The 11,420-nt window shown below is 42.5% G+C and overlaps 1 protein-coding gene across 24 annotated transcripts in view, besides 1 other annotated feature; it reads left to right on the top strand.

Annotated features, from left to right (window-relative positions):
- The first annotated feature begins 5,384 nt into the window (after positions 1-5,384).
- The window catches only part of GTF2H2 (general transcription factor IIH subunit 2), a 32,330-nt gene continuing 26,294 nt past the window's right edge, over positions 5,385-11,420 (top strand). For 6 of the 24 annotated variants that reach the window (NM_001395395.1, NM_001395393.1, XM_047417131.1 and 3 more), the window contains exons 1-3: positions 5,385-5,406; positions 10,265-10,353; positions 11,296-11,373. In NM_001395395.1, coding sequence (NP_001382324.1) covers positions 10,298-10,353; positions 11,296-11,373 — 134 coding nt within the window. In that variant the 5' untranslated portion in view covers positions 5,385-5,406; positions 10,265-10,297. Of the gene's footprint in view, positions 5,766-7,838; positions 7,937-10,264; positions 10,354-11,294; positions 11,374-11,420 lie in introns of those variants that run through there. The other 18 variants (NM_001364572.3, NM_001395396.1, NM_001395390.1 and 15 more) reach the window with 8 other exon arrangements.
- Positions 5,958-6,557: an enhancer, noted in NCBI's record as "H3K27ac hESC enhancer chr5:70362331-70362930 (GRCh37/hg19 assembly coordinates)". NCBI's record gives its function as "activates a minimal SCP1, AML or CMV promoter by ChIP-STARR-seq in primed H9 embryonic stem cells {active_cell/tissue: H9 hESC(primed)}" and the evidence as "EXISTENCE:reporter gene assay evidence [ECO:0000049][PMID:30033119]".

Genomic DNA, 11,420 nt, shown 5'->3' with positions numbered 1-11,420 from the left:
AAGTTGATTGTGATCATCCCAGCTTAGACTTTTCTAAAAACTTTTTTTTAGAATAATCTATAAACTGAACTTTAGTATGCATTTCAGATATTTAGGTATATAATTTTTTTTTTTTTTTGAGACAGAGTCTCACTCTCACCCAGGCTGGAATGCAGTGGCGCTATCTTGGCTCACTGCAACCTCCACCTCCCGGGTTCAAGCAATTCTCCTGCCTCAGCCTCTCGAGTAGTTGAGACTACAGGTACCCATCACCATGCCTGGCTAATTTTTGTATTTTTAATAGAGACGGGGTTTTACCATATTGGCCAGGTTGGTCTTGAACTCCTGACCTTGTGGTCTGCCTGCCTCGGCCTCCCAAAGTGCTGGGATTACAGGCGTGAGCCACCATGCCTGGCCTAAGTGTGTGTGTGTGTGTGTGTATTTTTTTTTTTTTTTTTTTTTTTTGAGATGGAGTTTTGCTCTTGTTGAACAGGCTGGAGTGCAATGTCGCGATCTCAGCTCACCACAACCTCCGCCTCCCAGGTTCAAACAATTCTCCTGCCTCGGCCTCCCGAGTAGCTGGGATTACAGGCATGCGCCACCACACCTGGCTAATTTTTTTTTGTATTTTTAGTAGAGATGGGGTTTCTCCACGTTGGTCAGGCTGGTCTCGAACTCCTGACCTCAGGTGATCCATCCACCTCGGCCTCCCAAAGTGCTGGGATTAGAGGCGTGAGCCACTGCGCCCGGCCTATAATTTTTGATAGATGATTTTGGATTATTTTCCAGAGATAAAATTTTAAATGTTTCCATTATATCACTGATTTATTTCTGCAAATTGAATAAATTCTTAATTTTCTGCATGCACATAATACAAAAGGTATTTTCATAGTTTTGGATTTATACCAAATGAAAAGGACTCTCTTGATGAGCACCTTTAACTGATTTTTCTGTTAAAGTTTTAACAATTTGTTCTTGGAAGTCAGTTCGTGAAGGCAAGTTTGTCAGTATTTTCACAAAACTATTCAGCTGAATCCAGAAAGTGAAACAGCAAGAATTTGCATTGTAAAATTGTGTTATAAAATTGGACTTTGAAATTTCAAAAATAAGAAAAATTTTCATGTGTATTTATACTAAATACCGTTTTAGGAAACTAGGATCAGGGTGTTTCTGTTGGCGTTGGCATTAACTAGCTGGATGTAAATTTGAAAAGCCACTCAAGCAGCTTCCTAGTCTAGAAAGTCAGAGGTTTAGATTAGATTTCCGACATCCCTTCCATTTCTGACCTGTAGTTCTTGTCTGGAATTCTGCTTTGTTATAAACTATTGTTCTAAGGAGTTTGTTGTGATAGCACATAGTTCATTTTGTAAAGATTCCCTGCGTATAAAGTGATGCCCTACATATGTGATTTTGTATTAAAAGTATATAGGATCATTATTTTATTTTGAAAAATTTAAATACAGAAAAGTATAAAATATAAGTACCATCCGCCCAGAAATAACATGTGTTAATGTTTTGTCATATGTGCTTTATATTTTTTGAAATAAAGTGAAGTCAACTAGTATTTATAGTAAATAAGTTACATACACATAAGTACATATATGATATTTAATCCTCACAACGATCTTTTGACATGTGACCATTTCTTATTCTTCTTTTATAGACAAGGAACTAATGATATGATAGATTAACTGGCTGTTGTCACACTAGCAAGTGGCAAAACAAGGGATTAGGATCTTAGTCTCTTCAACTGTTAGATTCTATACTTCCATCCTGTGTTGACTTTGTTAATGGATTGGATAATGTGAGATCACTCTGATGTAAATAAAGTATCCTATATTAATTTCGAGTGCATTTTAAGTACTTGTAACATAAATGCTTCCTGTGAAATATCTGTAAAGACCTGAATGGGTACATGTGTGTAAAGAAGAATCAGGGCAGAAAAGTGCTTTTATCATGGCTCCGGGGACCTTAGCTTCAGTTGGTGTTGTGAGAATTCCTCACACAAGGACATTCTCCTTGCTTCAGCATCAGGATGGAAGTGTTTCTCATCTGGACTTTTTCAAAGACTCAGCTGGAGGAATCAGAATTCATAATTTCCTGGCAGCTCATGATTCTGCTACACTACACCATGCCATCTCTTGTGTGAAAGGACAGATTTGATGGAGGACTATGTCATCCCTCATGCGTTTCTTATTGTCTACATTTATTCTAATGGGAAGAAGTGAGCAAAAACACCACAATAATTTGGGTAGTTTTTAGAAAACCTTGTTAGTAAATTAGAATAGTGCCACTTTGGCATTATGAGAAAGAAGCATGGATACATAACTAGGGTTTTGTGTATGACTACAACGAAATGCAGAATGGTGTCTCCAAAAGGTTTCCAGTTGCTGCCACAAGAACTGCTTGGTATTGCCTACATGTGTTGTCCTATTTTTGCTTTGCCCTTCTGCAGTTACTTGCTGTGGGACCTTGGAGAAATTAACTTAGCCTCTCTGTACTTCAGTTTTTTGTATTTGTAAAAATATATTTGTAATAATCTCATAGTTAAGAAGGTAGTTAATGTGTGACTCAGTCCTTGTCTAAAAGTAAATATGCCTAGCTACCCCCATCTTCCAAAGCCAGAAGGTGAAACTTTAACAAGTTTTCTAAAAGCAAATTGTGTTTTTTAAAAGTGCATGTGTCATCCAATCCCATATGATTGATCTGTGCTGGGTGCAGCCTTAGAATGTAAATTCTTTTGAATTCTAGGCAGAGAATGCAGGATTGGCATTCTAAATATTTGTACATGATAAACAAATGCTTCTTTAGGTTACAGCAAATAGTTTACTTATCAAGATCACGATTGTTAGATACTGTTGTCAATTACAGAGGTTTTAGATGAGGCTTTCTGGAATGATTTAGTTTCCCTGTAAGGGAGCCTGTCTATTGGAATAGACAGGTTCACTTCTCCCAGTCTTTCAAGTTGCATGCTTTTTATATCTGATTCCACTGGCTGAGCTGATTGTGAATGTCCTAACCCTGTTGATTGTGTCTGGCCACTCATGGGCAAAGAACAGATTATCCATTCTTTATAGTTGTCTTTTAGTTTTACAAGTTGAAAAAACATCTGAGTAGGTTAGATAATTTATTCTACCACTTTGTAAATGATTAGAATATGTCAGTCATAATCATGCCAAGAGATTATGGATTTATGCATATTTTGTTTTGCTGTAGTACCATTCCTAGTTGAATCTTAACATCCATGTCTAAAATCTATACAGAGCAAATATTACAGTTGGGAAAACTGTTTCAGTCTCCTCTCTTCGCAAATATGCTTTATATTTATTGGGGAGTCCTCTATCTTTTTCCTGGTTTTCCTTAAAGCCTTCCCAGGCTGATGGATAACAAACATATGCAAGAAACTTGGGGCTTGGGATTCCTCTAGGCTGTTTGTCCTAGAGGAATGCATCCCGTCTTGCAAATAGGATGGTCAATTAAGATGGAAGGAAGCAAAAGTGTGGATAGGAAGGAAGGGCACAAAAGGAAAAGTGTGGAATTTGTGTGTGAGTCCTCTAATGAGGTCAAAGGTGGGAGGGAGGCAAGCATGGAAGCTTCCTGGCACTGCGATACTAATTTCCCCTCCTCTCCCTTTTAAAATCCTGTCTTCTGGGAGGAAATGAGACTGATTATGGAGTTCCCACTAAGCCCTGCAGGGTTGGTGGAGACAACCCCATTTTACACATTAGTTCATAGACTTGGGTTGTGACTTGCTTGAGGTCACCCAGCCAGTGTGTCAGAGCCTGATTTTAAATCCAGGGCTGTTCTTTCCACTGCTATGCAAGATACCTTCTGTTTATATTTTTGAGGGAGACAACAGAGATGGGAAAAATTTTTAACAATAAAATAAAGGCAATGGAGGGGATGAGTATGCTGATGGGGAAGGAAAGAGGCCCTAGCTTCTGCAGTTCCTTTGTGTTATTCCTAACCCTTTTCTCATCTGGGGGTGCACTGCCTCTCCATTTCTCAAGTATGGGAAATGCCAGTAATTCCACTTGTGTTAATTGGCAGTCAGACAACTTGTCCAAAACTGAATTGATCTTACCCACCCCGCCAACATTTTAATAATTGCAACCCCAACCTTTCAGTTGCTCAGCTAAAGACTATGGAGGTATCCTTGATTCTTTTCTCATAACACACATCCAGTGTATTGGTAAGATTTAGAATTCAGTCACTTCTCACCAGCTGCTGGTCCAAGCCATCACAATTCCCCCAAAGTTCTTAACAGTGCTCACAGCCTCTCCTCCCCACCTTACCCTTCTGATTGCAGCTGCCACCACTCATCCCCTGCTCACTCCTGCAGTCGTCAAAGACCCCAATGCACTTCTACCTCAGGGCCTTTGCACTTGCAGCTCTCTTTGTCTGAAGAGCTTTTCCCCTAGGTATCAGTAGGGTTAACACCCTTCCTCATTCAGGTCATGGCTTAACTGTCTTCCCAGCGAGGACTCCTCTGGCCACCCTATTTTATTTTTTGAGATGAAGTCTCTGTCACCCAGGCTGGAGTGCAAGGTTGGCTCACTGCAACCTGTGCCTCCTGGATTCAAGCGATTCTCCTGCCTCAGCCTCCCGAGTAGCTGGGATTACAGGCGCCTGCCAGCACGCCCGGCTAATGTTTTTGTATTTTTAGTAGAGACGGAATTCACTATGTTGGCCAGGCTGGTCTCGAACTCCTGCCCTCCGATGATCCACCCCCGCTCGGCCTCCCAAATCACCATGCCTGGGATTACAGGTGTGAACCATCGCACCCGGCCTGGCCACCCTATTTTAAACTGCAAACTTTTCCCCTTCAGTGCTTAGTTTTTCTCCACAGCATTATCACCATTTCATATAGTATATGTTTTTCTTCATACTGACTCCCCTTGGAGAAGGAAAACTCCACGAGAGCAAGGATTTTTGACAGTTTTTCATTGTTATTTCTTCAGTGCTTAGACATGCATCAGGCTCAAAGTAGATGCTCAATGTTTGTTGAATGAACAGCAAGAGCAATGGAGGAGTCCTGAAATACACAGCAAGAAGCAAGGATAATTCTGGCTTTACTTCTGTGGCCAGGGTCCTTCATCCCAACCTTTTAGAAGTAGAAAAACCAGATCGAGCTCCTCAGAACCCAGGTCGATGGCTGCAGAGCCTTCGACCTTCCGAGAGCGAATGGCGATCACTCTTTCCGGTTCTCTGTGAATTCCAGCTGGAACACCGTCCCTTTCCGCGCCCCAACTCAGCGGAGGCCATGCCCTGCACCTGAGCGCCCCGCTCCGGCAGCTGCACTCTGCAGCATCCGGAACGTTTCGGCGTGGCCGCAGGGCGCGGCGGAATGACTTCCGGGGCGCCCCTAAAGCGGCGGAGAGGAGTGTCGGGCGGAGTTTCCGGCTGAGAGTCCTTCTAGCGGCGCCGGTGAGTCCGCGTGTGGAAGTCTGTGAGGCGCAGAGGTGGGGCAGGCCGTCTGGCTAGCTAGGCGGCTGGGAGCGTTTTCGTGGCGGGGAACGGAGGTTGAATTGCCCTGCCTGGGCTCATAGGGAAGGAGGATGTGAAGGAGCTTGTGAAGGCAGAGGAAGGTAACTTTCGTCTGGGGAGCCGCAGAGTAGGGAGGGAAGCTGCAGGCCGTCTCTCCCTAAGTAAAAGCGCGACTTTTAGAAATGATGGTTCAGGGTTCGAGTTTGTGACCCGCTTGAGAAAGTGACCAACCTCTGAGCCTGAATCCCATACCTGAAAAACAAGGACAGTAATCACCCTTGCCAGTTTCACATAGCTTGGTAAGGTGTGAAGAAAAGCTTCTTAAATTGGGATGTTTGGTGCTCTCATTTGTTGGCAGATAGCATTCCGAGCTCATGTAACGGGAATCACACCAGTAGGCTTATGCTGAGGAACGTGGATTGTTTGGGGTTGGATTCCAGGAAACAGATCACTTAAAAATTTTTTTTTTTCTTCGAGACGGAGTCTCGCCCTGTCGCCAGGCTGGAGCGCAGCGGCGCGATCTCGGCTCACTGCAACCTCCACCTCCCGGGTTCAAGCGATTCTCCTTCCTCAGCCTCCCGAGTAGCTGGAACTACAGGCGCGTGCCACCACGCCCAGCTAATTTTTGTATTTTCAGTAGAGACGGGGTTTCACCATGTTGGCTAGGATGGTCTTGATTTCTTGACCCCGTGATCCTCCCGCCTCGGCCTCCCACAGTGCTGGGATTACAGGTGTGAGCCACCCACCTGGCCTCGCTGATATTTTTAAGAAGAAAATGGACTGACGGGAAGTGACAGGCCATTGGAGATCTTTACAAAGTCCATCTTCAGGATGCATGAATCCTTTAAACAGCATGCATGTTTACAATCAGACTTCCCATTGAACGTCTGCAGTTTTAGGGACCTTAATACCTCCTGTCCAGTCGGATTTCCCGTTGCAGGCAGCTCTAATTAAGAAGTCCTTTTAGCCGGGCGTGGTGACTCATGCCTGTAATCCCAACACTTTGGAGGACCGAGGTGGGCGGACCAGTTGTGGTCAGGAATTCGAGACCAGGCCTGGCCAACAGGCTGGTGAAACCCCGTCTCTACTAAAAATAAAAAGGTTAGCTGTGGTGGCGTGTGCCTTAATCTCAGCTATTCGGGAGACAGAAGAGACAGTAGAATCGCTTGAACCCTGGAGGCGGAGGTTGCAGTGAGCCGAGATTGCGTCACTGCACTCCAAGCTTGGGCGACAGAGCAAGACTCTTGTCTCAAAAAAAAAAGAAAAAAAAGAATTCCTTTGATATGGTCAGCCAAAAGTCTCTCAGTTGCTATTTACTTTTATATTTATAATATTTATTATATATTTGTAATTATTTTATTTATTTTGAGATAGGGTCTCACTCTGTCACCCAGTCTGTAGTGCAGTAGTGAACATAGTAGCCTCGACTCTCCTGGGCTCAAGTCATCCTCCCACTTTTGCTTCCCAAGTAGCTGGGACTCAAGTACTCGCCACCTCGCCCAGCTAATTTTTTGATGTTTTGTAGAGACAAGGTTATTGCCCAGGCTGATCTGAGCGCCTGAACTCAAGCAATCCTTTTGCCTTGGCCTCTCAAAGTGCTGGGATTACAGGTTTGAGCCACTGTGTGCCCTGCCAAGAATTTGAGTTTAAAAACGTTGAGAACGTTATGCGAGTTTTTCATTTTTAAAGTTCACAATACGTAACAGAAAACAGGGAGGAGCAAAATGTTCAGTTGAGGCTGGGTGTGGTGACTCACGCCTGTAATCCCAGCACTTTGGGAGGCCGAGGTGAGTGGGTCACCTGAGGTCAGGAGTTCGAGACCAGCCTGGCCACCATGGCAAAACCCCATTTCTACTAAAAACACAAAAGTTAGCCAGGTGTGGTGGCGGGCTCTTGTAATCCCAGCTACTCGGGAGGCTGAGGCAGGAGGATCACTTGAACTCGGAGGCGGAGGTTGCAGTGAGCCGAGATCGCGCCATTGCACTCCAGCCTGGGTGGTGAGTGAAACTCCGTCTTAAAACAAAAAAAGAAACAAAAATATTCTGTTTACAGGCAGATCACTTGAGGTCAGGAGTTTGAGATCAGCCTGGCAAGTCAGGTGAAACCCTGGCTCTACAAAAATATAAAACATGGCAAAACCCTGACTGTACTAAAAATACAAAAATTAGCTGGGCATGGTGGCACGCGCCTGCAATCCCAGCTCCTTGGGAGGCTGAGACAGGAGAATCACTTGAACCCGGGAGGTGGAGGTTGCAGTGAGCCACGAGGTGGTGGAGTTGGGAGGGAGATTGCATTGGGGAGGATGGAGGTGTGATGAGGACATTTATTTGTGCATGAATGAATGAATGACAGAGTCTCGCTCTCTCACCCAGGCTGGAGTGCAGTGGCACAACCTTGGCTCGCTCCAGTGTCTACCTGCCAGGTTCAAGTGATTCTCCTGCCTCAGCCTCCCGAGTAGCTGGGATTACAGGTGTGCACCACTAGGCCCTGCTGATTTTTGTATTTCTAGTGGAGACGGCATTTCACTATGTTGGCCAGCCTGGTCTTGAACTCCTGACCTGAAATGATCTGCTGGCCTCGGCCTCCCAAAGTGCTGGGATTACAGGATGAGCCACCGTGCCCGTTTCTCTCTCTCTCTTTCTTTCCTTTCTTTTCTTTCTTTTTTGAGGCAGGGTCTCATTCTGTTGCCCAGGCTGGAGTGCAGTGACCTGATCTCGGCTCACTGCAGCCTCCGTGCCTCCTGGGTTCAAGCAGTCCTCTTGTCTCAGCCTCCCCAGTAGCTGGGATTACAGGGGCCCGCTCCCACCAACCTCCTAGCTAATTTTCAAACTCCTGACCTCAAGTGATCACCTGCCTTAGTCTCCCAAAGTGCTAGAATTACAGATGTCAGCCATCATACCTGGCCTGGTTTTTTTTTTTTTTTTTTTTTGAGACGGAGTCTTGCTCTGTCACCCAGGCTGGAGTGAAGTGGCGTGACCTTGGCTCATTGCAGCTTCTGCCCTCCAGGTTCAAGGAATTCTCCTGCCTCAGCCTCCCTAGTAGCTGGGATTACAGGCACCTGCCACCATGCCCAACTAATTTATGTATTTTTAGTAGAGACGGGTGTTGCCATGTTGGCCTGACTGGTCTCGAACTCCTGACCTCAGGTGATCCGCACCTTGTCCTCTCAAAAGTGCAGGGATTACAGGGATGGAGCCGCTGCACCTGGCCCTGGCCTGTGTTTGTTTGTTTTGTTTTGTTTTCAACTTTTATTTTCACGGAGTACGTGTGCATGTTGGTTACATGGATAAATTGCTTGTTGTTGAGGTTTGGTATACAAATGATCCCGTCACCCTGGTAGTAAACATAGTACCTGATAGGCAGTTTTTCAACCCTCACTCTCTCCCATCCTTCCCTGTCTAATAGTCTCCAATGTCTGTTGTTCTCATCGTTATGTCCACGTGTACTCAGTGTTTAGTTTCCACTCGTAAATGAGAACATGCCGTCTTTGGTTTTCTGTTGCTGTTTTTTTTTAGGCCAGAGTGCAGTGGCACGATCTCGGCTCACTGCAACCTCTCTGCCTTCCGGGTTCAAGCAATTCTCCTGCCTCAGCCTCCTGAGTAGATGGGATTACAGGTGCTCGCCACCACATCTGGCTAATTTTTTTCTATTTTTAGTAGAGACAGGGTTTCACCATGTTGGCCAGGCTGGTTTCAAACTCCTGACCTCAGGTGATCCACTTGCCTTGGCCTCCCAAGTGCTAGGATTACAGGCGTGAGCCATTGCGTTGGGCCTCTGTTCGTGTTAATTCAATGAGGATAATGGCCTCCAGCTGTATCCATGTTGCTGCAAAAGACAGGATTTCATTGTGTTTTTTTTTCGTTGTTTTTTTGGCTGCTAGTATTCCATGATATATTACGTACCACATTTTCTTTATCCAGTCCACCATTTATGAGCATCTAAGTTGATTTGATGTCTTTGCTATTTTGGATAGTGCTGTGATTAATATGAGTGCTCTTGTACTTTTGGTAGAATGGTTTTATTTTCCTTTGGGTTTATACCCAGTATTGGGATTGTTGGATCGACATACATGTGTCCAATAAATATATGAAAAAATGTTCAACATCACTGATCATTAGAGAAATGCAAACCAAAACCACAATGTAAATCAAAACCACAAACCCATCTCACCACCAGTTAGAATGGATATTATTAAAAAGTCAAAAAATAACAGATGTTGGCAAGGTTGTGAAGAAAAGGGAATGCTTATCCACTGTTGGTAGGAATGTAAATTAGTTCAGCCACTATGGAAAGCAGTTTGGAGATGTCTCAAAGAACTATGTTTAATTTTGTGTCCTTTTTTTTTGAATTATGAGCTATAGCATTTACCCATTTATAAATAATAAATGTGATTTAAAAACTTTTGATTATGAGAAAACTGAGACATACACAGAGAGATAGTACAATGAATCACATGTCACTCAGCTATAATAGTTCAACTACGCCCATACTGACTCCTCACAAGTCTACAGTTTGTCATGTGACACATCTATAAAGCATTTTTGTTCTTTTACAAATCGTAAAAAGACGCTTATTTTTATTGGTACCAAGTTTGTGTATAAGTTCATATTATTTCTTGGAAATGAGAAATGGAGTTCTATGAAGATTTTTAAGACAATTATTGAGTAAAATACAAAGAATAAGATGACCTGGCATTCCATTTTTTTTTACTTCATATATGTGTCTAATTTTCAAATTTAATTGGATGAATTTTGTAACAAACATCTTTAGATAACTTACATTCTAATGGTTTTTACAGATTATTGAATAATAAAATACAGTTTTGAAAAAAATGGATGAAGAACCTGAAAGAACTAAGCGATGGGAAGGAGGCTATGAAAGAACATGGTAAGGAGAGCTTTATTGCCCTGTCTTTTCTTTTAGACAATGTCTTTTTTTTTCTTTACAACTTTATTAAAGTATATTTTACATATGTTAAAATTCACCCATTTCCAATGTACAATTCAGTGATGTTTTATTAATAATTTACTGAGCTGTGCAGCCATTATCATAAACCAGTTTTAGAATATTGTAACCACTCCAGTAAGATCCTTCACATTCATTTACAATTAATTTAAATCTTAATTTAATTCCACCTGTGGGCAATCATTAGTCTACTTTTTGTCTCCAAATTTTAACCTTTTCTGGACATTTCACAAAAATGTGATCATATACAATCATGTGCCACATAATGATGTTTTGGTCAAAGACAGACTGCATATATGACAATGGTCCCATAATATTATAATACTGTATTTTTACTCTACCTTTTCTATGTATGTTTAGATATACAAATACTGACCATTGTGTTACAGTTGTCTTAAGATATTCAGTATAGTAACGTGCTGTACAGGTTTGTAACCTAGGCGTGGGATAGGCTATACCATCTAGGTTTGTGTAAGTATACCCTGTGATATTCACACAATAATGAAATTGCCTAACAATGCATTTCTCAGAATGTATCCCTGTCAGTAAGCGATGCATGACTATAATAGTTGGTCTGTTGTGGCTGGCTTTCACTTATTTTTAAGACTCATCCATGATGCAGTGTGTATTAATACTTCATTCCTTTTTTATTGCTGAATAGTATTCCCATCTATGGTTATGCCACATTATTGTTTATCCATTCACTAGTCTGTGGATATTTAGGTTCTTTACAGTTTTTGACTGTTAGGAAAATGCAGCCATGAACACTTACATGCAAATCTTTGTGTGGACATATATTTTCATTTCATTTGGGCTAGTAATCATTTTAGCTTGTCTTTTCAAACAAATAATTATGACTTATAGGGAGATTCTTAAAGAAGATGAATCTGGATCACTTAAAGCTACAATAGAAGACATTCTATTCAAGGCAAAGAGAAAAAGGTATGTAACCTTCCTATGTATCTTAAAAAGGTAAAATATATTCATTT

This window comes from Homo sapiens, chromosome 5 (genome assembly GCF_000001405.40).
Source record: "Homo sapiens chromosome 5, GRCh38.p14 Primary Assembly".
In the NCBI taxonomy this organism is placed as follows: domain Eukaryota; kingdom Metazoa; phylum Chordata; class Mammalia; order Primates; family Hominidae; genus Homo; species Homo sapiens.
This window is presented reverse-complemented; position numbering and strand designations above follow the sequence as displayed.